Source organism: Homo sapiens, chromosome 2, assembly GCF_000001405.40.
Source record: "Homo sapiens chromosome 2, GRCh38.p14 Primary Assembly".
NCBI classification, from domain to species: Eukaryota; Metazoa; Chordata; class Mammalia; order Primates; family Hominidae; genus Homo; species Homo sapiens.
In genome coordinates, this window is record NC_000002.12 from 23,866,071 (window position 1) to 23,893,309 (window position 27,239).

Here is a 27,239-nt window from a genome sequence, read left to right on the forward strand (position 1 = left end):
TTAAGAGAAGCTAAATTTTCTTGTATTTGGTATCAAATTTTAAAGAAATAAGTGGCCTGGCACGGTGGCTCACGCCTGTAATCCTAACATTTTGGGAGGCCAAGGCGGGAGGATCACCTGAGCTTAGGAGTTCGAGACCAGCTTGACCAACATGGAAAAATCCCGTCTACTAAAAAAATACAAAATTAGCTGGGCGTGGTGGCGCATGCTTGTAATCCCAGCTACTCGGGAGGCTGAGGCAGGAGAATCGCTTGAACCCGGGAGGCGGAGGTTGCGGTAAGCTGAGATTGCGCCATTGTACTCCAGCCTGGGCAACAAGAGCGAAACTCCATCTCAAAAACAAAAAAAAGAGAAAAAGAATTTAGTCTACTTTGGCAGAGACATCTAAAGTTTACTAGATTCATCTGTAAATGGACAGATGAAAATAAATGAAAGGAAAATAAAAATGAAGAAAAAAATTTTTTAAAGACAAAAAAGAAATTAACTAGATTCAAAAGAGTAAAGTGCTGGTAAGCCAAATAAGCAAAGATCATTAGGTAAGGTCTTCTGAGAAGGTGCACTATTAGAAATGGGATTCTGCTCATATGCAATACTCTAATATTTTCTTAGGGTCCCATTAATAAATAAGATAAGCATTTTCCTCTATGACTTCAGATTAGAGATAGTTAAAATTTCATCTTCAAGTATATATGCAATTCTATTTGATAACTTATTTTAAATCTCTCTATGGAAATCACTTAAATTATGTTGTATAGAGAGATTTTTGGGAAAAAAGAAAAAATGTGTCAAATAAATTCTTGGTTATGCAGTAACCTTATTCCAAAATATCCCCCAAAATAAGATACTACTAACAATGAGAAAGAATCTACCATGTCCTCCGAGTCTTGTGCCTGTTTTTGTGCTATGTATCTTCCCCAGGTGTGATCGATCATCTATTTTCCAAAGTGACCTCACCGCTCTTTATATTGATGACCCGTATTTGAATTTCTAGTCCAGGTATTTCTCCTTAATGCCAAACCTAAATAACCCATTACCTACAAGGTGCTTCCACTTGTAGTATACCTCAGATACCTAAACATGTATTAGTTAAATACAACTAATTAAATCATCTTCCTGCCTCAAACATTTATTCCTCTTCTCATGTTCCCTACTCAGAGAATCAAGCCATTCTCCATCCAGACCATCCATTATCTACCTAGTCACCTAAGCTAGAAACCTGGGTAATACTCTCAAGTTGTACCTTTCTCTTGTTCCCCAAAAGCAATTAATTCACCAAATTCTGTCATTTCTGAATTCAATCCTCAATTCTTTCAAACCCATTTACTTCTTCAAAGTTATCCTAGTTTCTACCATGACCACTACTCCAGATTACTAGACTACAGCAACATCCAGTCTCCCTAATGCCAGCCTTGCTTCCCCCAAATTCATTAACTATATCATAGCCAGAGTGAGCTACCCAAAATACAAAATCATGAAACTAGGCAATTTCAACAACAGCCCATTGTTCATCATGGTTTATGAAGCCTTGCCCCTCATAACCTTCTCAGCCTCATTTCCTACCTGTTACATATTCCAGTAACACTGAAATGAAAATATCTGACTAAGCACCACTTGTGGCTAGGGTTCTTAGGTTTCAAAACATATACATCGAAACATTAACACTGTCATATCCGAATTTTCTAGTTCTACTATGTGCTGCTTTAGAAACAAGAAAAAAACTTTTAAAAAAAAGAAAACTTCTAGAAAAACATTTACAAAACTTACTGATTTATCAATGTTCATTGGATCAACATCAGCCAAGCTTGCACCCACTTTCACTCGTTCTCGGAGAATACCGCTAGCTAAGTCCTCTGCTCTGAAGTTCATAGGCAAACATCTGAAATTTATAAAAGTGCAAGTAAAGTTGCATTAAAAGTTTCACATTTTTAATGTCAAAATAAGTTTACATTCTTTGATGTGTCTTCATCTTTCTCCTTTTTCTCATAACCCAGAAAATAATATCAAAGGATTTCATACTTTTACTCTACTTTTCTTACATTCTTGTCAATGGCCAAAAATTAAGTTACTCACTAGATAAAGCAAACAAGATCGTTAATCTATTTGCCCGAAGAGCCCAATCTATTCCATTTTAGGAAAACATCTTAACATACCTGATTATCCCATGTTATACAACTATAAAATAAAAATAAACCTATATGTATTATAATATATGGGATTAAAATAAAATTAAGCTACTGATTGATTGATTGAGACAAGATCTCACTCTGTTGCCCAGGATGGAATGCAGTGGTGCAATCACAGCTCACTACAGCCTCAACCTCCTGGGCTCAAGTGATCCTCCCACCTCAGCCTTCCAAATAGCTGGAACTACAGGCAGGCAACACTACACCTGGCTGATTTTTTATACAGACAAGGTCTTACTATGTTGCCTAGGCTGGTCTCAAATTCCTAGGCTCAGCCACCCAAAATGCTGGGATTACAGGCGTAAGCCATCAGCCCAACCTTTATTATAATATTTAAATCTATCCTCAACTATTACACGAATATGTCTACTCAGTTATATGATTGAAAAAATTGTCTTTCCATTTTTTTCAAAAAAAAACCAGAGATCACATCTTGAACACTAAGCTTCATCTTTTGTGTAACTACCTTAAGAGAGATCTCTATACTACATTATTTAACACATTATTTAATATACTACATTATTTAATTTCTGTAAATTAATATAGTCAACTTCCTCTTTTAACCTTGGGTAAACACCAATGACATTAACAGCCTCAAAAAAGTCTAGCATCTATAATGAATGTAACTTCATTGATATTTCTGAATCCTAATTTATAAAAATATATTATCAAAGTAGATTATCAGAATAGTTCGGATTAAATAGGCATTAAACGCTTTTATTTAAACTTGGATTTTTCTCATTTTCTTTCCATCATTCAGATGAGAAATTCTTTTTTAGTACACTATCTAACTGATCCAAACTTGTTTCCAAGACCTGCTAACTGAAAACTTGGTATTTCTACAATAAATAATAATTTGACACTTTAATTATTTACTCCTCCACTGAAAATTCTCTGAGGTTTTAGTGAGCCCAACAGTGATCAGTTAGTTACCCTAGTTAGGGAAAGATCACCAGAGGCACTTGTTCAACTGACAACAAAAACAAAGTAATTTTTTCCAATAAAAATCTAAGGTTTCCTGAGATAATTCTATTAGAAACCATGTCTTAATCTGACTGCTATAATACTGTAATCATTATAAGTACCTAAAATCAACCTCATTAAATGGATTTAGATTAGAAAGGAGGTACAGAGGAAAAGACAGACACTGCCATATAGGTTGGCCTGTTTCCCTTAGCTCTCCTTACTTTCCCTCTCCACAAATTATTTTATCGTAAGTACTTTCAGACTAAATGATTTTGGGGAAAGGTTAGATTTTTATTGAAAGAAAAGCTAAGTAGAAACCAAGTCAATGTCTTAATCTAGTCTAAAATATGTGTTGAATATCAATGTTAGCAAAGAAAATCACTCAAAAAAAACTTATTTTTCCTTTTTTCTACCATGGAAATAACATTACAAATTTTACTAACCTATTTCTTGCTCTTGCCATGCTCTTTGATTTCCTTCTTTCAAAGCGTTCCTCATCAGAAGAAGTTGTGTCACTACTATGAATGGCATGCTTCTTTCTCCTATTTAAAGAGAGTAAAATCCTTAAAACCATTATAATAGCAAACAACTTTTTAAAACACACTGTAATATCTACAATTAGCTCAGAGAAAATTCATTCAGCAAATATTTATTAAGATTTTTTACCCTCATACAATTTACATGAAGTATAAAGGTAGCAAGTTCTGCAGAGAAAAAGAAAAAAAAAGGCCTGTAATCCCAGCACTTTGGGCAGTCAAGGTGGGTGGATCATGAGGTCAGGAGTTCGAGACCAGCCTGGCCAACATGGTGAAACTCCAGCTCTACTAAAAATACAAAAATTAGCCAGGCACGGGGTGGGCACCTGTAGTCCCAGCTACTCGGGAGGCTGAGGAAGAAGAATTGCTTGAACCCGGGAGGCGGAGGTTGCAGTGAGCTGAGATTGCACCAGTGCACTCCAGCCTGGGTGACAGAGCAAGACTCCTTCTCGGAAAAAAAAAAAAAAGGAGAATAGAAAGCCTAAAGTTTTTTTTAAAAGAATAATTCAGGAAGGGAGTCAGTAACCAACTTTTTTTTTTTTTTTTTTTGAGACAGTGTCTCACTCTGTCACCCAGGCTGGAGTGCGGTGGCAAGGTCAGGGCTCACTACAGCCTCAACCTCCAGGGCTCAAGCGATCCTCCTGCCTCAAACCCCCAAGTAACTGAGACTGGAGGCACCCGCCACCACACTGGCTAGTTTTTGTACTTTTTGTAAAGAGGGAGTTTCACCATGTTTCCCAAGGTGGTCTCAAACTCCTGAGCTCAAGTGATCTACCCACCTTGGCCTCCCAAAGTGCTGGAGTTACAGATATAAGCCACCGCACAGGGCCAGCAACCAATTTAAATTACATCCAAATTTAGCGAATATCGGTCACTGTTTGATAAATAACATTAGAATCTCAGAAAAAAAAAAGTTTGGTTTTTTTTTTTAATTTTATCTTTCCCAAATAGTCACAGTCCAGACATTTAAAGAACAAAGGAAAAATAATACACTGGTTTACAGAGGACAAGGGCTTTAACTCACTTAAGATATTTCCATCCTGTTTGAACTTCTTATAAAATACATAAAATATTTTGAAGAAAAAAATAGTTTATAACCAGAACTACTATGGAGAGATTAGGTAATTTGCCAGGCTGAAGTCATCACGAAGGAAAAATAATACTTAATGAATGCCAGATTATTAGTATAACTCATGACATCGCTAAGACACCTAAAAAATACTATAATAAAACCACCACAAAATTGTGTGCTCACGAAGTGTTCAAATTGAGTTCATCATATCCAAATCAAATGCTTCAACCACTTCTTTTAAACTGTATATTCAGTTAGCAGTTCCACTAACTAGTAATTTGCAAAAAAAAAAAAACCTCAAAAATCATCCTAAATCCCTTTTTGCCCACCACATAATCACTGCCATTGAGCTCTAGCCACATTCCCTGTAAATATCCCTTATATCGTCTTCTTCTCCACCCCTACCTAGGTTTCGCTTACCACCTGCCTAGCCATTTAACCACCCTCAGCTCTGCTTTACTAAAAAAAAAACATTTGCCATGATCTTACCTCGGATCTTGTTACCGCGTGAACTGCTCTCCACCTCTGCAATTTTAAAATTCAATGGCCTACTTTTTGAACATAACCTCCTAACATACCAACTTTCAACTCATCAAGGCCTACTATACCCGAGCACCCACTGACTCAGAGTCAACTCCCTTCGTGGCTTAATTTTCTGTCAAGCCTCACAGGAAAAGCTATTACTTCAGTTTTTAATCTTTCTACCTGACTCTGTCTCCTTTTTCTTCCATTACACTTGCTGAATTCCAACCCTGTACCAATCCAAGTAATAAAAGTAGAACACTGAACACACTAATGAAAATCCACACAACCATACAAGCTGCAATCATTGTCAGTAATTTACTTCAAGCACAAATAGCCTTCAAAGATGTCCCAAAATCTGTGCATCAGTACTCCACTCCAATGCCCACATGTCCCATTAGCAACCCAGATTTTCTCAACTTCTCCTTAAGATCCTTAACCCACCTCCTACTCCTTCTCTACTAATCGGAATCCTTTCATTAACTTCTGCATCCATTTTTGTGAGGGAAGAAGGAATTGTTTTTGGGTTTGTTTTTCTTTTTTTTTGAGACAGAATCTCGCACGGTCACCCCGGCTAGAGTGCAATGGCGCAATCTCGACTCACTGCAACCACTGTCTCCTGGGTTCACGCGATTCTCCTGCCTCAAGTTCCCAAGTAGCTGGGATTACAGGTGCACACCAACACGCCCAGCTAATTTTTGTATTTTTAGTAGAGACAGGGTTTCACTATGTTGGCCAGACTGGTCTTGAACTCCTGACCTCATGATTCGCCCATCTCGGCCTCCCAAACTGCTGGGATTACAGGCATGAGCCACCATGCCCAGCCTGTTTCTGTTTTTATTTTTGTTTTTAGATAGAAGGTCTCACTCTGTCAACCCAGGCTGGAGTGAAGTGACACGATCATAGCTAAGAGCAGGAAGCCACAGCTTCCACGGCTTTACGCACAGTCTCTTCATCCCCCAGGAACTGCATGCACCTGATGGTCTTCAAGTTCTTGTCAAATTCATAGACAATGGGAATACTAGTCGGCAGGTTCAGCTCCATGACAGCCTCTTCAGAGAGACCATCCAAATGTTTCACAATGCCCCAGAGGCTGTTGCCATGCACTGCAATCAGCACCCATTTCCCCTCTTTTACCAGGTGAGCTATTTCTTCATTCCAAAACGGCAGAGCTCTGGCTTTGAGAGTCCTTCAGACTCTCACAGGAGGGTAGCTGATCCTCCGTGAGGTCTGCATGCCTGCGATCCTTACTAATGTTGCTGTAGAAAGGATGGTCAGGCTCCATCGGAGGTGGTGGAACATCATAGGAGAGCCTCCAGATCTTCACCTGGGCCTCACCATGCTTTGCAGCAGTTTCTGCTTTACTGAGATCAGTCAGACCCCCATAGTGCTGCTCACTGAGGCACCAAGTCCTCACTACAGGCAACCACATCTGATCAATGGCATCTAGCACTGTCCAGAGGGTCCAGATTGCTCTCTTCTGCACTGAGGTGAAGCAGATGTCAAACTCATAGCCAGCCATCTCACAGTGCCTGCCTGCCTGCCACTCTTCATCTCCTTATGGCCCGCCGGGCTCACATTGGCATTGTACCAGTCGCTGAAGCAGTTCTCCAGGTTCCAGGTGCTCTCACTGGGCCAGATCAACACCAGTTTGTAGGTGGCCATGGCAGCGGGCTGGGGAGGCCCTACATCAATTTTTGATACTTCCCAACTCTTCAGGAAGATAGTTGCAAAAATTATCTACTTATTCTTTGCAATTTTGATATTTATCCTCTCCTCTACTTCTTTCTCCCCATCAGGAAAGTTCCCAAGTTTATGTGTGTATTGGGCCTATAACATATAGAAATGTAATAAATTTGCCAATAATAGCACAGAAGGAAGTTGGTGGGAGAAAAGTTGTATTGGTCTAAGAAAATGACTTCAGATAGTAAACTGAATGCATAAAAAATAAAGAGAACCAAAAATGGTAAATCAATTGAAAAGTTAATATAACAATACCTATAAACATATACAGTCATCCCTTAGTATCTACAGGGGAATGATTCCAGGACCCTTGCGAATACCAAAATTCAAGTATGCTTAAGTCCCTTACATAAAAATAGTATAGTGTTTGCACATTGCATATGGCCTACACACATCCTCCCACACACTTTTTTTGAAAATTTATCAAAGACTTAACGTAAGAGTTACCTCCTGTATACTTTAAATCATCTCTAAATTAATTATAATACCTAATACAACACATGCTATATAAATAGTCATCAAGCTGTATTTTTTGTTGTTGTATTGTTGGGGTTTTTTCTCAAATATTTTCGAGGTGTGGTTGGTTGCATTCACAGATGCAGAACCTGTAGCTCAAGAGGACCAACTGTACTTGCTAATGTTTCTTCTCGTAGCTTCAGTAAAAGCCATTAAATCATATAAAGTAATAATGCCAACAATGTATTGTTAGATCTGTAACATTTTTAGGTGTGATACAAATAACAATAATACAACAAAAATAGTGGTATACATAATTTCCCAGTAAATAACTGAAAAGCCAAAATCCTAGTTGGGGCTGGGCATGGTGGCTCATGCCTGGAATCCCAGCACTTTGGGAGGCTGAGGCAGGCAGATCACTTGAGGTCAGAAGTTCGAGACCAGCCTGACCAACATGGTGAAACCCAGTATCTACTAAAAATACAAAAATTAGCCTGGCATGGTGGTGTATGCCTGTAACCCCAGCTAGTGGGGAGGCTGAGCCAGGAGAATTGCTTCAACCAAGGAGGCGGAGGTTGCAGTGAGCCGAGATCACGTCACTGCACTCCAGCCTTGGCGACCAGGGAAGGCTCCATCCCAAAAAAAAAAAGAAAAGAGCTTAAAAGCCAAAGAGTATACAAAACTATACAAAACAAACTCAAACCATATACAAAAATTAAGTAAATCAAAGACCTAAACATAACAGCTAAAACTATAAACTATTAGAGGAAACCATAGGAACAAATCTTCATGACCTCTGAGTTGGCAATGGATTCTAAGATATAACAGTAAAAGCATAAGCACAAAATAAAAAACAAGTAACTTGAACTTCATAAAAATTAAAAGCTTGGCTGGGCACAGTAGCTCATGCCTGTAATCCCAGCACTTTGGGATCACTTGAGCCCAGGAGTTCAAGACCAGTCTGGGCAACGTGGCAAAACCCTATCTCTACAAACAATATAAAAATTAGCTGAAAATAGTGCCGTGTGCCTGTAGTCCCAGCTACTCGGGAGGCTGAGGTGGGAGGATTGTTTGAGTCCAGGAGGCTGAGGCTGCAATGAGCCATGATCATAGCACGCCTAGGTGACAGAGCAAGACCCTGTCTCAAAAAAAAAAAATAAACTTTTAAAAGTAGAAACTTTCCTTTGTTTCTACTTTCTTCTACATGTAAAAGAAAGGATAATTAGGGCCGGGTGTGGTGGCTCACGACTGCAATGCCAGCACTTTGGGAGGCCAAGGCAGGCGGATCAGGAGGTCAGGAGATCGAGACCATCCTGGCTAACACGGTGAAATCCCATCTCTACTAAAAATACAAAAAAATAGCCAGGTGTGGTGGCGAATGCCTGTACTCCCAGCTACTCGGAAGGCTGAGGCAGGAGAATGGCGTGAACCCAGGAGGTGGAGCTTGCAGCGACCCAAGATTGCCCCACTGCACTCCAGCCTGGGTGACAGAGCGAGATTCCATCTCAAAAAAAAAAAAAAAGGATAATCAGGGGGAAAAAGTATCAAAGATTAACTTGAATGGATGCTTCAAATGAAACCAATGTGGGTCATTTAGATTCAACTCTGCTAAGAGACCAAAGAGCTGTGTAGCTTTAGGGAATAAAAAATAAACTTTTAAAAGTAGAAACTGGTCGGGCGCCATGACTCACGCCTGTAATCCCAACACTTTGAGAGGCCAAGGCAGGGGGTTCACAAGGTCAGGAGTTTGAGACCATCCTGGCCAACATGGTGAAATTCTATCTCTACTAAAAATATGAAAATTAGCTGGGCATGGTGGCGCACACCTGTAATCCCAGCTACTCGGGAGGCTGAGGCAGGAGAATTGCTTGAACCCAGGAGAAAAGGTTGCAGTGAGCCGAGACTGCGCCACTGCACTCCAGCCTCCAGCCTGAGGGACAAAGTGAGACTCCGTCTCAAAAAAAAAAGTAAAACCTTCCTTTGTACCTACATGTAAAAGAAAGCATAATTAGGGGGAAAAATATCACAGATTAACTCGAATCAGTGCTTCAAATGAAAGCAATATGGGTCACCTTAGATTCAACTCTGCTAAGAGACCAAAGAGCTGTGTAGCTTTAGTGAATGTAACTGTTAAAACAACAAATATTCCAGGCAAACTGAATCTGGAAGATAATAGTAGCTAAATAGGATGACAACTGTTAGTCACTAATTAAAGAAAGAAAGACACAATTAGTCTCTCATTGACAAATGCAAATGTTTCCTTTCAAAAACAAACCTTACCTAATATGGCTTCTTCTTGCTGGAGATCTATGAATATCAAACAGCGTGTTTTCCCTCTTTTTTTGATGAGCTGGTACTAAAAGGGAAGAAAAGGATAATAGAGAAATAACTAATAAATTGATAAATTAATGTATTAAAGGAGTAGAAATGACTTCTGCTCACTTTTTTGTTGTTGTTGTTTTTTGAGACAGAGTCTTGCTCTAACGCCAGGCTGGAATGCAGTGGCGCGATCTCGGCTCACTGCAACCTCTCCCTCCTAAGTTCGAGCGATTCTCCTACCTCAGCCTCCCAAGTAGCTGGGACTACATGCGGGTGCCACCACGCCCAGCTAATTTTTGTATTTTTAGTAGAGACAGGGTTTCACCATGTTGGCCAGGATGGTCTCGATCTCCTGACCTCATCATCCGCCCACCTCGGCCTCCCAAAGTGCTGGGATTACAGGCATGAGCCACCGGGCCCAGCCCTGTTAACTTTTTTTTCTTTTTTTTTTTGATACAGAGTCTCACTCTGTCGCCCAAACTGGAGTGCAGTGGCGCGATCTCGGCTCACTGCAAACTCTGCCTCACAGATTCAAGCAATTCTCCTGCCTCAGCCTCCTGAGTAGCTGGGATTACAGGCGCCAGCCACCACGCCCAGCTAATATTTGTATTTTTGGTAGAGACGGGGTTTCACCATGTGGGCTAGGCTGATCTCAAACTCCTGACCTCATGAGCCGCCCGCCTAGGCCTCCCAAATTACTGGGATTACAGGCGTGAGCCACTGTGCCCGGCCCCTGTTAACTTTTTAAATAAAACCTAGTCATGTGTTTTCAAGTACCAAATGCTGTCTAGAAGCAAAATGAAAATAAAAATTTTGTGGCAATACTATAAAGTTGCAAATAAACATTCTAAACAGATGTTAACTTAATCTTTGAGACTATGAGATTTCTTAGATACATGATCCATTAAAAAAAATTTTAGCTGGGTGCAATGGCTCACACCTGTAATCCCAGCACTTTGGGAGGCCGAGGCAGGTGGATCACCTGAGGTCAGGAGTTCAAGACCAGCCTGACCAACATGGAGAAACCCTGTCTCTACTAAAAACACAAAATTAGCCGGGCGTGGTGGTGCATGCCTGTAATCCCAGCTACTCGGGAGGCTGAGGCAGAAGAATCGCTTGAACCTAGGAGGCGGAGGTTGCAGTGAGCCAAGATCGTGCCACTGAACTCCAGCCTGGGCAAGAAGAGCGAAACTCCATCTCAAAAAAAAAAAAAAAAAGAAAGAAAGAAATTTAGCACAATCCATTCAAAGAACAATCCATTAAAATTTTTTTTTACAGGCTGGGCAGGGTCCCGGGACTTTGGAAGGCCAAGTCAAAGGACTGCTTTGAGCCCAGGAGTTCCAGACCATCCTAGGCAACGCGGTAAGAACCCAACTCTAGTTTGAGGCGCAGTGGATCACTTAAGGTCAGGAGTTCGAGCCAGCCTGACCAACATGGTGAAACCCCATCTCTATTAAAAAATATGTATATACAAAAATTAGCCAGGCATGGTGGCATGCGCCTGTAATCCCAGCTACTTAAGAGGCTGAGGCAGGAGAATCACTTGATTCCAGGAGGCAGAGGTTGCAGTGAGCTGAGATCATGCCACTGCACTCCAGCCTAGGTGACAGAGCAAGAAGGAAGGGAAGGGAAGGGAAGGGGAGGGAAGGGGAGGGAAGGGGAGGGGAGGGGAAGGGAGGGGAGGGCAGGGGAAGGGAGGGGAGGGGAGGGAAGGAAGGGCGGGCCGGGCACTGTGGCTCACAACTTGTAATCCCAGCACTTTGGGAGGCTAAGGCGGGTGGATCACGAGAGGTCAGGAGTTCAAGACCAGCCTGGCCAAGATCGTGAAACCCCATCTGTAATAAAAATACAAAAATTAGCCAGGCACGGTTAATCCCAGCTACTTGGGAGGCTGAGGCAGGAGAATCACTTGAACCAGGGCGGTAGAAGCTGCAGTGAGCCAACAGCACCACTGCACTCCAGCCTGGGTGACAGAATGAGACTATCTCAAAAAAAAAGAAAAAGAAAAAAAGAACCCAACTTTACAAAAAAATTTTTTTTTAATTAGCCAAGTATGGTGACATGCACCTCAGCAGGCTGAAGCAGAAGAATGCAGTGAGCCATGTTCGCACCAATGCACTCCAGCCTGGATGACCCTATCTCCAAAGAAAAAAAAAAAAAAAAAAAAAAAAAGCAAAATGTATAAATTGGAGTTCATTAAAATTACAAATGGGCCAGGCATGGTGGCTCAGGTCTGTAATCCCAGCACTTTAGGAGGCCAACATGTGTGGATCACCTAAGGACAAGAGTTCGAGATCAGCCTGGCCAACATGCTGAAACCCCATCTCTACTAAAAATACAAAAATTAGCCAGGTGTGGTAGCGCATGCCTGTAGTCCCAGCTACTTGGGAGGCTGAGGCAGGAGAATCGCTTGAACCCAGGAGGCGGAGGCTGCAGTGAGCCAAGACTGCACCACTGCATTCCAGCCTGGGCAACAGAGTGAGACTCTGTCTCAAAAAATGAATAAATAGGCCAGGTGCAGTGGCTCACGCCTGTAATCCCAGGACTTTGGGAGGCTGAGGCGGGCGGATCATGAGGTCAGGAGATCGAGACCATCCTGGCTAACACGAAGAAACCCTGTCTCTACTAAAAACACAAAAAAATTAGCCAGGCGTGGTGGCAGGCGCCTGTAGTCCCAGCTACTCGGGAGGCTGAGGCAGGAGAATGGCATGAACCTGGGAGGCGGAGCTTGCAGTAAGCCGAGATCATGCCACTGCACTCCAGCCTGGGCGACAGAGCAAGACTCCATCTCAAAATAAATAAAATAAAATAAAATAAAATAATAAACTTCTGCTCTTCAAAAGATACTATTGAGAGAATAAAAAAGACAAGCAACAGACTGTCTTGTCTTAAAAATATTTGCAAATGACATATCTGTTAAAGGTCTAATATCCAGAACATATAAGGAATCTCAAAACTCAATAATAAGAAAACAAACAACCCAATTGAAAAAATGGCCAGAGATCTGAACAGACATTTTACCCAAGATTTAACACTGTCAAAAAGAAAAACAAATGAAAAGATGCTCCAACACCATTAGGGAAATGTAAACTAAAACTATAATAAATACCTGTTAAAATTAATTAATTAATCTGAGTATACCAATTGTTGGCAAGAATACAGAGCAACTACAGCTCTCATACACTCTTAGTGAAAATGGTATAACCACTTTAAAAAAGAGTTTGGTAACTTCTTATATCTCATCATAAAACCCAGCCTTTCTACTCCTTGGTATTTGTTAGAAATACAAAAACATATGTCCACACAAAGACCTACATGTGAATGTTCATCACAACTTTATTTGTAATAACCAAAAACTGGAAAGGATCATAATGTCACATAACAAATGAATGGATAAACAAATTGTGATATATCCACACCACAGAATGCTATTCAGCAAAAGAAAAAAAAAAAGGAATACACAGCTGGATGCAGAGGTTCAAGACATCACAGTGCTTTGGAAGGCCAAGGCAGGAGAATCCCTTCAGGCCAGGAGTTCAAGACCAGCCTCGGCAACACAGCAAGATCCTGTTTCTACAAAAAAAATTAATTAGCTAGGCATGGTGGTTGTACACCTGTAGTTCTAGCTATACAAGGAATTGAGGTAGGAGGATAGCTTGAGCTCAGGAGTTTGAGGCTGTAGTGTATTATATTTGTGCTTCTGAACAGCCATTACACTGCACCATGAACAACATAGTGAGATCCCTTCTCTAAAAGATAAACTTTTAACTTTTTCCTTCTGCCAGCAAAAAAAGAAAAAGAAAAAAAGAAAACAACTAAGTTATTGGCCAAGCTGCAGCCGTATACTATTTTTGTGACCTCGGGTAAGTCACTTAACCTCTTGGACCATAAAGATACTCTCCCTAGGCCGTGCACAGTGGCTCACACCTGTAATTCCAGCACTTTGGGAGGCCAAGGTGGGCCAATCACCTGAGGTCAGGAGTTCGAGACCAGCCTGGCCAGCATGGTGAAACCCTGTCTCTACTGAAAAAAATATAAAAATTAGCCAGATGTGGTTGCGGGCACCTGTAATCCCAGCTACTCAGGAGGCTGAGGCAGGAGAATTGCTTGAACCCAGGAGGCAGAGGCTGCAGTGCACTGAGATAATGCCACTGTACTCCAGTCTGGGTGACTGCAGACTCTGTTTTTAAAAAAAAAAAAAAAAAGAGAGAGAGAGATACTTTCCCTAAAGAACTGCTATAAATTAAAGTAAAGTGCTCAGTAAACTATACAGTGTAATGCAAAAGCATGAGCCATATTATTAAACACAAGCTTCTATAAATAAAATGTACATGCTGTATGTAAATCAATGCTGCTACCATGTACTTTGACTTTCTTTCAGTTGCATGTGTGTGCACAGAAGTATATGTAGTAAAAAAAAATACAGTACATAAAACCTATAAGAGATTGCCTTCTTTTAAATTTGGCAATATTAATTTTTTTAAAAGCAGTAGGGCATTTTTAGTAGAGATGGGGTTTCACCATGTTAGCCAGGATGGTCTCGAGCTCCTGACCTCATGGTGGCGGGCACCTGTAGTCCCAGCTACTCGGGAGGCTGAAGCAGGAGAATGGCATAAACCCAGGAGGCACAGCTTGCAGTGAACTGGGATCGCACCACTGCACTCCAGCCTGGGCGATGGAGCGAGACTCTGTCTCAAAAAAAAAAAAAAGCAGTGGGGCAGAATAAGTTACTCAACTACCAGAAAGAAAAAAGTTATTTAGAGTTGCCTACCTATTGGAGGTGCTTGGTATCGATCCACTGTTTTTCTCTGTCTCAAATTATATGGTCTATCATTTTCTTCTCCTTCTGCCTCTTCAACTTCTATATCTCCATCCTCCTCTTGAGATTCTAGTTTCCCACACACAAAAAGAAAAGAAAAAGGCATTATTTTAATTCAAAAGGATTGGTCTACTCTAGAACTGAATATTTACACTTTATCCATTACTCTTTCTGCACAGGTGACATTTAAGTGCCAACATATTACGTAAAGCATACATAATTAAAAATCAACCTAAATGGATGTAAAAGAAAATACTTTCCCTGCCAATGATCAATACAATTATCTGCTAAATAAATTAATATGATCATATTTTATCTCTTGATTTACTTAGGAACTTTGATTCTCCTTGTTCATACAATGCAATAATAGAAAACAGACTTAAAATTTTACCCAACTACAGCAAACTTCAATCAATGCTCAATTAACCACTAAATAAGATTAGTATTCAAATACCACTTGATAATTCAAAAAAATATGCTTATAGGTAATTACTAATGTTACAGCAAGAGCAACTTTTGTTGGCAGTGTAATGATTTGTTAGGCCTGTTGACCACAGTTAAGCATGGATTAGTTACATTTTGGTAGCAAAGTGCACATAAGCATTGAGAGGGAGCATGAAACAGACTTCTAGGGTATTGGTAATAGTTTATTTCTTGACATGAGTGATCAATTCTTTTTTTTTTTTTTTTTTTTTTTGACACAGAGTCTCTGTCGCCAGGCTGGAGTACAGTGGCGTGATCTGGGCTTCACTGCAACCTCTGACTCCTAGATTCAAGCAATTCTCCTGCCTCAGCCTCCCGAGTAGCTGGGACTACAGGCACGTGCCACCACGCCCGGCTCATTTTTTGTATTTTTAGTAGAGATGGGGTTTCACCATATTGGCCAAGATGGTCTCGAACTCCAGACCTGGTGATCAACCCCCCTCGGCCTCCCAATGTGCTGGGATTATAGGCGTGAGCCACCGCGCCCAGCTATAATTCATTTTTTAAACTGTATACACTTAAAAAATAAATTATAATGTACATAAATCCTAAAAGGTTTTTCTTTTTTTTTGAGATGGAGTTTTGCTCTTGTTGCCCAGACTGGAGTGCAATGGCGCGATCTCAGCTCACTGCGACCTCTGCCTCCCAGGCTCAGGCGATTCGCCTGCCTCAGCCTCCTGAGTAGCTGGGACTACAAGCATGTATCACCATGCTTGGCTAATTTTGTATTTTCAGTAGAGACGGGGTTTCACCACATTGACCAAGCTGGTCTTGAACTCCTGACTTCAGGCAATCTGCCCACCTAGGCCTCCCAAAGTGCTGGGATTACAGGCGTGAGCCAAAATATTATTTTTTAAAAATGATTTGGCAATAGCTATAACATCTAAGTACAGTTAAAATAAGAGTCTAGCTGGACGCAGAGGCACCTGCCTCTAGTCCCAAATACTTAGGAGGCTAAGGCGGGAGGATGGCTTGAGCCCAGAAGTTTGAGTTCAGCCTGGGGCAACATAGCAAGATTCCATCTCTATTTTTTTTTTATTTTTATTTTTTTTGAAACAGAATCTCACTGTCACCCAGGCTGGAGTGCATGATCTTGGCTCACTGAAACCTCTGCCTCTCGGGTTCAGGCGATTCTCATATCTCAGCCTCCCGAGTAGCTGCGATTACAGGCGTGCACCACAATGCCCGGCTAATTTTTGTATTGTTGGTAGAGACAGGGTTTCACTATGTTGGCCAGCCTGGCCTCAAACGCCTGATCTCAAGTGATCCACCCGCCTCAGCCTCCGAAAGTGCTGGAATTATAGGGGTGAGCCACCACACCCAGCCTCTATTTAAAAAAAAAAAAAAAAAAAAAAAAGGCCAGGCGCAGTGGCTCATGCCTATAATCCCAGCACTTTGGGAGGCCAAGGTGGGAGGATCACGAGGTCAGGAGATCGAGACCATCCTGGCTAACACAGTGAAACCCCATCTCTACAAAAAATACAAAAAAAAATAGCCAGGCATGGTGGCGGGTGCCTGTAGTCCCAGCTACTCGGGAGGCTGAGGCAGGAGAATGGCATGAACCCAGGAGGCGGAGCTTGCAGTGAGCCGAGACTGCACCACTGCACTCCAGCCTGGGCAACAGAGCGAGACTCCATCTCAACAACAACAACAACAAAAAAAAAAAGATCTGATGAAAATTAGTAAGCATATGAACGCCCAAATGCAATATGTAACTTTTTAACCACAAGAACTGTCAATACAACACAATCATATTAAAGCATAGAAAAAAATATAAAGCTGGCAGTGATACTTAGGGAAGTAGAAGACTAAAACTGCAAAGGGCTGGACATGGTGGCTTACGCCTATAAACCCAGCACTTTGGGAGGCTGAGGCAGGAAGACTATTTGAGCTCACGAGATCAAGACCAGCCTGGGCAACAAACATATTGAGACCCCATCTCTACAAAAATTACAAAAGATTTAGCCGAGCATGATGGCATGTGCTTATGGTCCCAGCTACTCAGGAGGCTGACATGGGAGGATCGCTTGAGCCTGGGAGGTCAAGGCTGCAGTGAACTGTGATTGTGACAATGTGCTCCAGCCTGGGTGACAGAGTGAAAAACTGTCTCAAAAAAAAAAAAAAAAAAAAACCTGCCAAGGACTTTATATTTTACTCATGACATCAGAAAGCATTATTTGAAAAATTTTTATCGTTAGGTTGTAGAGAAAAATCAACAAATACAGTATTTATCTAAATAATACTATAAAATACTTGTACCTAAATAAGTTATCTAAATATCCAAAACATTACTTTTTGAAAAATGTCTGTACAGTAACACAGTATTACAAGCAGAATTTCTAAATATGGCATATCTACTTTGGAAACTCTACAAAGATGTTCAGTTAATGAAAAGGCAAGAATCGCATTATAAATCTGTCTCACCTATACTGATTTTCTCCAAAGGAAGCAATTTAGAGGTTCTAGCTGTAACAACAATAATATTTGCTCAATAAAGTACCTTCATTAGAAATATCACCTCTTCAAAATTGACTAATAAAATATTAACTACAGAATTTTTAAAAAACATAGTCTTCTCAATCTAAACTACACAAATAATGGGAACTAGTAAGATTCCCCTATAAGTACTACTAATCTGCATTTACAATCTTCTGAATCTTCTGAAAATCCATTTCAATAAAGATTAATGCCAGGCCGGGTGCAGTGGCTCACGCCTGTAATGCTAGCACTTTGGGAGGCCGAAGCGGGTGGATCACCAGAGGTCAGGAGTTCAACACAAGCCTGGCCAACAAGGCAAAAACCCCTCTCTACTAAAAATACAAAAATTAGCCAGACATGGTGGTGCACGCCTGTAATACTAGGTACTCGAAAGGCTGAGGCAGGAGAATCGCTTGAACCCAGGAGGCGGAGGTTGCAGTGAGCCAAGATTGCGCCACTGTACTCCAGCCTGGGCAACAAGAACAAGACTCTGTCTCAAAAAAAAAAGATTAATGCCTACAGAATTAAATCCTATAGGTGTACTGTTCATCAATTTATAATTCATGGGGCCAATGTGCTGCTGTCATGTTCCCAACTCTGGCCCTACAAGGTCAGTCTGGGTTCTTCAGTTCAGAACCCACAAATGCCTCAGAAAAGAACAGTATAGTCCCTTTCCACTGGTATTAGAAGTCTCTCTCTAAACTTTACTCTTTATTCCTCAGACCATACCTAAATTTGAGATCCACATAATCAGAGATTTAGAGGCCACGGATAGCAAAGTAACTATCCAGTTAGAAGGTGCCTAAGTACAAAAAAGGCCTCATCTAAGAAGCAAATGAGCCCAAAGTAAATCCCATACCAGATCACTGAAGGACTACCAATGGCTACTAATAAAATACATTACATAATGTATAATGTGCACTTAAAAGTATTTTTCCAAATGAAGGAAATGAAACTCAGATTGCCAACTGAATTTAAATTATTTCAAATTATACAATATAGACCTCAAAATCCAAAAACCAACTACTCAGCAACATTCTACATATATTACTTGTATATTTTATTTTTCTTCCCTCCCACCTGAACTTTCTAGAATTCCAAAAAGTGCTTTACAAACCTTCTTCTTCACCCTCAGTAGAAACTTCATGATGATTTTGTATCCCATAACTATTTCTTCTTAGTGACTTTCTTCGCCTTTTCACTCTTGAATACATATCCATGTTTTCCTTTTAAAGAAAGAAATCTGTCAAATAGCAACATGACATTTATTCTCCACTACAAAAAAACAACCCAATGGGACATACCTGCTCAACAAAATTTATTGAGCACCTATTTGCGTGCCATAGATTCGTGAAAATGGAGCTTCCTAAATTCAATAAATGTAAGAAATAAAAGGGAAAACACTTACAATAAACTTATAAAAATGTAAAACACATAATGCCAGCAACATACTTTCTCCCTCAAGCAAATTACAGCCTAGTAGGAGGGAAATAAGACAATCACAGGTAATTATAAAAGAAAGTAAAATAAGTTAAATGTCATAAAGAGAGGTACAAAGTACTCCAGAATTCAAAGAGAAGACCCTCCTTTTGTTATGGGGTAAAGGGAAGAGAGGCAGTATCTGAAATGAACCTTGAAACAAAGGTAGAACTGCATCAGTCACTAACTAGAAATATTAACAAGAGTAAAAGTTATAGGAATAAGAATGATTTGTTTACACTTAGGCAATGGTGTGTGAGAAAACAAAGTTGAAGCCAGATCATCAACATCAAGGTGTTTTTAATCTTCAGTGCACAACAAAAAACCATTAATGGTTCAAATCAGAAGAATAACAGAATCACAGTTGCACTTTAAGGTGACTCATCCAGCAAAAGTGAAGAGGGTCTTCTTGGAAAGGTTGTAGCAAGAGGAGAATGAAGAAAAGAAACAAGCAAGCAATAAAATCCCAAACTAAGTTGGAAATGAAGACGAAGGAACACTCATGCTAATTCAAAAACATCCAACTGTTGCATTCTCCCTTTAAATTCCTCAATTAAAATGAAAAATATTTACAAAGATTGCTACAGCTAATATACTCACAAATTCTGTATCTGTCCACATTCGAAGTCGTTCTACTTCTCCTGATCGACGATTCCGTCGGATGTTAATGTTGTCCATTTCCTGTAGTACAGCTTCAGCAGTGCTACAATCACATAATAAAATCAGGATTTAGACAATGGTGGCACCATATACATAAAAGAGCTCTTTGTGAAAGTGTAATCAAATCATCTCTGATGTGTAACTACACACAACTTTTTTTTCTTTTTTGTTTTTTTTAGATAGAGTGTCCCTCTGTCACCCAGGCTGGAGTGCAGTGGCCTGTTCATGGCTCACTGCAGCCTCAACCTCCTGGGCTCAAGTGATCCTCCCACCTCAGCCTCCCGAGTATCTGAGACTACAGGCATGCACTACCATGCCCAGCTAACTTTTATATTTTTTTGTGGAGATGGGGTTTCACCATGTTGCCCAGGCTGTTCTTGAACTCCTGGGCTCAAGCGATTCATTCATCTCAGCCTCCCAAAGTGCTGCAATTACAGTGATGCGCCCCACCATATCCCAATTAAATACCTCTTTCATAACCAGCATCCATCAACAGAATACAGTGCCCAATAAGAAAAGCAAAACCAGGATATCTTCTACCTTAATATATACATTAAAATAAAACTTTTTAAATATAAGGCTTTTGTTAATAAGTTCCCAATAAAAAATATATAATGCCTCTATGAATAATTATCAGATACATGACACTGAAAAAATACAAATTCAATCTTTTTATTGAAGATGGTATTAAGAATAACTTGTACAAAATAATTGTATAAAATTATTTTATCTTTATTTGTATAAAAATAAGTAATTGTATAAAATAAAACAATTTGTAAAAAGTTTAAAGCCAATATAAGGTTTACTGGAAAGACTCTTTTAGAAATTCAAGTAGAACACTGACATTCAGGAAATACATGCTAGGCCGGGAGCGGTGGCTCACGCCTGTAATCCTAGCACTTTGGGAGGCAGAGGCAGGCGGATCACGAGGTCAGGAGATAGAGACCATCCTGGCTAACACGGTGAAACCCCATCTCTACTAAAAATACAAAAAATTAGCCAGGCATGGTGACGGACACCTGTAGTCCCGGCTACTTGGGAGGCTGAGGCATGAGAATGGCATGAACTGAGGAGGCAGAGCTTGCAGTGAGCCGAGATCACGCCACTGCACTCCAGCCTGGGTGACAGAGCGAGACTCCATCTCAAAAAAAAAAAAAGGGAAAAAGAAATACATGCTAACGTCTTAGCAATTTTTTTTAAGAGATGGGGTGCTGGGCACGGTGGCTCATGCCTGTAATCCCAGCACTTTGGGAGGCCAAGGCAGGCAGATCACAAGGTCTGGAGATCAAGACCTGGTGAAACCCCGTCTTTACTAAAAATACAAAAAATTAGTCGGGCATGGTGGCACGCGCCTATAGTCCCAGCTGCTCGGAAGGCTGAGGCAGGAGAATCATTTGAACCTGGGAGGCAGATGTTGCAGTGAGCCAAGATCGCGTCACTGCACTCCAGCCTGGGCGAGGGATTGAGGTCTCACTATGCTGCCGTGACTGGTCTTGAACTCCCGGGCACAGGATCTTCCCACTTTAGCCTCCTGAGCAGCTATGACTACAGTCTCCAGCCACCACACTTGGCTATCTTAGCAATTTTTATTTTATATTTTAAACAAATACTTAGATAACATTAACTATGCATCTAGATACTGAACAATACTTAAGTTTTAATAGTAACTTAAGCCCAAATTTGATGTTATCACTGTAGAATATAATTTCCTCTCTTGTCAAATAGCGATTGTACTGACCACCCTCTCCAGGCTATTGTAAAGATTAAGTAGGATGACATATTATCTGAGAAGAGTAAAGTTTTACAGATGCAGACGTTGAACGGATAGTCAGCTCACTGACTAGCTAAGAGACTCAATCCCACATACTCAGTCTCAAAACATCTTCAATTCAAAATGTTGAACTGACCCACCACACCCAGCTTCAAGTTAAGTTTTTAAAGAACTGTATTGATTGCTAAGTCGTTGCTTATGTTATTTTTTTAAAACGTAACTGTCTTAAAAACCAAATAATTAAATGAAACTGCTTAATACTTGGCATTCATACCTATTTACTAGTTGATCAAATAACAAACTCTGGTTCACACTTTCAAATCTGTTTTTCCTGGAACGACAACTTTTTCTGACTTCCATGTCACCATTTATACAAGAAAGGTCCCCATCTCCCTTCTTTTCCCCTCGAAGGGGATGGCTTCGAAGGGCTACAAGAAGAGAGATATTTACATTTCAAAGTACAGAATACAGAAAGACAGAAAAGAAAAAAAAAATCAAAAAATTACTTTTAAAAGACTACAAAAAATTTAATATAACTTTTTAAATGGCTTTAATAGTCAATAATCTAAAATTTCTATAAATTTTACAATCTGTCATAAATAATTTAAATTTCAGGTATGCTGATTTCTCAAAGTTTAACAATTACATACTTTTTTTACTATGACTGAAATTCAGCCATTTCCAACTGTATGCTCAGCACACTATTAAATCACTCTATTTTTCCCCACTTTACTGCTTTCTCTAACATTGTAAGAATTTTAAAACTAACCAGTTTTATAATAGAATACTCACATAAGCCACTATGTCCATTTGGTAATGTAGCACCAGGCTGAGAAGTTAACCTAGAACACAATAATATTTAATATGCAAACACATCAACATTTGCTTATATAAGCAAGAAATGAAATACTGCTGGAATTATTTTAATCTTTAAAACTTTTTTAAAAGTAAAGATAACTTTTTTTACTGTAAGATTGGTAATATGTCAATTAATAAAATATACTAGCTAGTTAAAAGCCATTTCATTACTTCAAGAAAAGCTTTAATAACAGATTATACACTAAGTTTACTCTGCCATCAACTCTACAAATCAAAACCCAAAAAAAAGGCTTAAGCTTAATATATACCATAAAATTAACTGAGACCATGAGTAGCAGGGGTCACAGGCATTACCTATTGGTTTTGGTTGATGAAATAAAATTCAAACAATGATAAATTTATTAACACAATAAACAGTAAGAAAAAAGTGCTTGAATACCAATATCATTTAATAATTTCTTCAAAGTATTTTATTACACATTTAATCTGACAAATCAAACAGCTGATTTATCGAAAGAGCCATTTTACAATTCTCTCTTTTGGGTGGAAGAAGAGAAATGTAAATCACTGGAAAGTTACTAAAAAGGCCATCAAAACATGAGGACTAGGAAAAAGTCACCATACTTCTTAGTACAGTCAGAAAGTTCAAAAGTAAAAACTAAATTGCTGCATAATAAAAGAGTTGTCAATGCAAACTAAGATATTTTTGAAATATCCAACAATTATTAGTTTCGAAGATTAAAAAACTAGGGAAAGGACATCCAGAAAATCACAAATATGTATGACTGCCTTCCTTTTTTTCTCCCCACAAGACAGAGTCTTGCTCTGTCGCCCAGGCTGGAGTACAGTGGCGCGATCTCGGCTTACTGCTACCTCCGTCTCCCAGGCTCAAGTGATTCTCCTGCCTCAGCCTCCCAAGTAGCTGGAATTACAGGCACGTGCCACCATGTCCGGCTAATTTTTGTATTCTTAGTACAGATGGGGTTTCACCATGTTGGTCAGGCTGGTCTCAAACCCCTGACCTCAGGTGATCTGCCCACCTCGGCCTCCCAAAGTGCTGGGATTACAGGCGTAAGCCACCGCGCCCAGCCCCTATGACTGCCTTCTATGTGGTTTGCACAAATTTTTAATTAAAATAATCTAACATTTTTGGTTACTCCAGTACTCTTCAAGTTAAATTATAAATATATTGTACATCACAATACCCCTGGCCCAGCAAAGGTCACAGTTAAGACGACTAAAGGGTATAAACAAAAACTCAAGCCAGGCGCGATGGCTCACGCCTATAATCCCAGCACTTTGAGAGGCCGAGGCAGGTGGATCACCTGAGGTCAGGAGTTCGAGACCAGCCTGGCCAACATGGTGAAACCCCGTCTCTACCAAAAATACAAAAATTGCTGGGCGTGGTGGCGGGCACCTGCAATCCCAGCTACTCGGGAGGCTGAGGCAGGAGAATTGCTTGAACCCAGGAGGCAGATGTTGTAGTGAGTGGACATCACATCACTGCACTCCAGCCCAGGTGACAGAGCAAGGCTCCATCTAAAAAACAAAAAACAGGCTGGGCGCGGTGGCTCATGCCTGTAATCCCAACACTTTGGGAGGCCGAGGCGGGCAGATTACGAGGTCAGGAGATCGAGACCATCCTGGCTAACACGGTGAAACCCCATCTCTACTAAAAATACAAAAAAATCAGCCAGGCGTGGTGGCAGGCACCTGCAGTCCCAGCTACTCGGGAGGCTGAGGCAGGAGAATGGCGTGAACCTGGGAGGTGGAGCTTACAGTGAGCCGAGATCGCGCCACTGCACTCCAGCCTGGGTGACAGAGCGAGACTCCGTCTAAAAACAAAAAATAAATAATAAATAACAAAAAACAAAACAAAAAAAACCCTCATACTACTACGCATCTTCAGATTGTCAAAAAAATAACAACAAAAATCTAGCCCCCCCGCCTTTCCTCTAGAAAACAACAAAAAAAATACCTTTACCTAATATACTATCTTGGAGAAAATTTCATTTTTAGCACCACTGTATACAATGCACATGATTCTCCAGGTATATGAGTGTGACTATAAAGTAACTAAATGGATGTAATACAGGTATTCTTACAACGTTGTCATTACACAATGCATTCCTGGAATTCTTAAGAATCACTCTCAAAATCCACTTAAAACCACACAGAAAAACCAACTTTATTACTTCATAAATATACTTTGTCTTTAGACCCAACAAAGCATTAACTCAGCTTGATCAGTTTATTCACAAGTCTTGGCACCAAATGAATTCTGACTATATACAAAGCCAAATGGTTGGAATTTCACATCACTTGAATTGTTCAAAAGAATAAGATGCAGACCCTAAAGTCATTCCACAAAAGAAATCTAAAACTTTTCAGAACAATGGTAACATCATTGGGGAAAAAAGCACAATAAGCTTTTTGTCTGCTCTAAAGAAGACAATGCTTACTTGGCTTTTATTACTAATGAAAGATCTGTTTTAAGAAAAAATCTTTAAAAACTTGTTCTTCAATTGATCCAATGACCTTATAGTCATAGATTATTGTCATCATCATCTTTATAAAAGGGAGACTGAAAAAGGAGACACGACATGAAATACATGAGTATATTAAAAGATTTAATATACTGAGATTTTTTTTTTTTTTTTTTGAGGTGGAGTCTTGCTCAGCCACCCAGGCTGGAGTGCAGTGGTGCGATCTTGGCTCACTGCAACCACCATCTCCCGGGTTCAAGTGATTCTCTCATCTCAGCCTCCCGAGTAGCTGGGATTACAGGCACCCGCCATCATGCCCAGCTAATTTTTGTATTTTAGTAGAGACAGGGTTTCACCATGTTGGCCAGGCTGATCTTGAACTCCTGACCTCAGGTGATCCACCCGCCTTGGCCTCCCAAATTGCTAAGATTACAGGCGTAAGCCACCACGCCCAGCCTACACTGAGATTTTGTAAGGGTTAGCCTGCTTAAACGTATATGCCTAAAAGTTTCTGTATTATATGAATGTTCTCAAAAGTTGTTCACTTAAATTGAGTGGGTAGCTATTTTTTGAAAAGAAGGAAGGTGGGTTGGAGATTTTTTTCCCTGTATCGTTTCCTGAATTTTTATTTATTATTTATTATTTTTTGAGGGGACAGAGCCTCACTCTGTCGCCCACGGTGGAGTGCAGTGGCTCTATCTTGGCTCACTGCAACCTCCGCCTCCTGGATTCAAGCAATTCTCATGCCTCAGCCTCCCAAGCAGTACAGGCGTGCACCACCACACCTGGCTAATTTTTGTATTTTTAGTGTAGACAGGGTTTCACTATGTTGGCCAGGCTGGTCTCCAACTCCTGACCTCAGATGATACCCCCCCGCCCCGACCCCCACCTCAGACTCCCAAAGTGCTGGGATTACAGGCGTGAGCCGCTGCACCTAACCCTGTTTCCTGAATTTTTAAATGGAACCAGTTTCACTTTGCATTAGGTGATTATTACGTTAGAACTTTCTACAGCTTTAATTATCTGGGGCACACGCTATTGCAATATCAGACTTAAAAATCATACTTATTCTCCCTTTCCCATATAAACTCAAGGCATTTAATGATTTATGAGGGTTATAAACCTCAATTCAAAAAAGCCCAAGTTCTGACAGACGTCACTTAACCACTACCACTCCTCAATTCTAATATGCCTCAGCAGTCCACATAGGTGGTTATACTTCTGCCTCACCTCACTACTTCCTCATTACCTAACCACAAAAGGAAACTTTCAAGCATGCTACATTTCAGTACACAATAAATCTTTTTTTTCTTTTTCTTGAGACGGAGTCTCGCTCTGTGGCCCAGGCTGGAGTGCAGTGGCGCGATCTTGGCTCATTGCAAGCCCCGCCTCCCTGGTTCACGCCATTCTCCTGCCTCAGCCTCCTGAGTAGCTGGAACTACAGGCACCCGCCACCACGCCTGGCTAATTTTTTGTATTTTTTAGTAGAGACGGGGTTTCACCGTGTTAGCCAGGATGGTCTCTATCTCCTGACCTCGTGATCCGCCCGCCTCGGCCTCCCAAAGTGCTGGGATTACAGGCGTGAGCCACTGCGCCCGGTTTTTTCTTTTCTTTTTTTTTTTTTTTTAAGACAGAGTCTCACTCTGTCATCCAGGCTAGAGTGCAGTGGTACGATCTCAGCTAACTGCAACCTCTGTCTCCCAGGTTCAAGCAATTCTCGTGCCTCAGCCTCCCAACTAGCTGGGTACAGGCACGCGCCGCCTTGCTTAGCTAATTTTTGTATTTTTAGTAGAAATGGGATTTCACCATGTTGGCCAGACTGGTCTCCAACTCCTGGCCTCAAGTGATCCACCACCCTTGGCCTCCCAAAGTGCTGGAATTACAGGCGTGAGCCACCACACCCAGCCAAGTGTACAGTAAGTCTTATGAAAATTTCAATTTGTCTGTATCTTAGAGTATGCGTATTATTCTAGATATATATCAGGTTAAATAAATGACTAGTAGCTAAATAAATATCCGCTGACCAAAAAAGTCAATAAAATAGCATCTGTACTCACAGTATTTGTAAGCTACAACATCTATCTATATTAGTATGTATATTTGGGAATTTCTATATACAATATAAAAACTATATATTAAAAAATATTTTTGACCAAAAACATCCTATTTTACTAAAAGTATCAATCATTAAAATTCTGTTGATACACTTGGGCCTTTAAACCCAGGTTTCACCCCAAAAGAAAACTCATAATCTATCTCAAATCACTTAGGAAGATTCAGAAGTTCTAGGTCCACTTTTATCTCTATCTTCATCCAATTACCTAACTCTAAAATGGAAATTTATTTTGCCAATTAACAGTAATTTATTTAACGACCTTAGTGGTCTTTGCAAAGTTCTTTAGAATTCATTATTTTTCATAGCTAATACTAATTCTTATCTGTATTCA

The 27,239-nt window shown here is 40.3% G+C and overlaps 1 protein-coding gene and 1 pseudogene across 29 annotated transcripts in view, besides 1 other annotated feature; both read right to left on the reverse strand.

The window, feature by feature from the left end:
• The window catches only part of ATAD2B (ATPase family AAA domain containing 2B), a 249,155-nt gene that overhangs the window by 188,102 nt on the left and 33,814 nt on the right, over positions 1-27,239 (reverse strand). For 18 of the 29 annotated variants that reach the window (XR_001738780.3, XR_001738782.3, XM_006712030.5 and 15 more), the window contains exons 3-11: positions 22,280-22,329; positions 21,762-21,915; positions 19,657-19,759; positions 18,695-18,803; positions 17,524-17,565; positions 14,569-14,685; positions 9,759-9,834; positions 3,593-3,691; positions 1,765-1,876 (exon numbers count right to left, since the gene is read on the reverse strand). Coding sequence is in view for 26 of the 29 variants with exons in the window: in XM_006712030.5 (XP_006712093.1) it covers positions 1,765-1,876; positions 3,593-3,691; positions 9,759-9,834; positions 14,569-14,685; positions 17,524-17,565; positions 18,695-18,803; positions 19,657-19,759; positions 21,762-21,915; positions 22,280-22,329 (862 nt within the window). In the remaining 3 variants the exon portion in view is untranslated. The remainder of the gene's footprint in view (positions 1-1,764; positions 1,877-3,592; positions 3,692-9,758; positions 9,835-14,568; positions 14,686-17,523; positions 17,566-18,694; positions 18,804-19,656; positions 19,760-21,761; positions 21,916-22,279; positions 22,330-27,239) is intronic. The other 11 variants (NR_125717.2, XM_047444799.1, XM_011532920.4 and 8 more) reach the window with 1 other exon arrangement.
• On the reverse strand, positions 6,195-6,963 carry PGAM1P6 (phosphoglycerate mutase 1 pseudogene 6; annotated as a pseudogene).
• Positions 25,970-26,099: an enhancer, noted in NCBI's record as "active region_15417". NCBI's record gives its function as "activates an Ori minimal core promoter by ATAC-STARR-seq in GM12878 lymphoblastoid cells {active_cell/tissue: GM12878}" and the evidence as "EXISTENCE:reporter gene assay evidence [ECO:0000049][PMID:35858748]".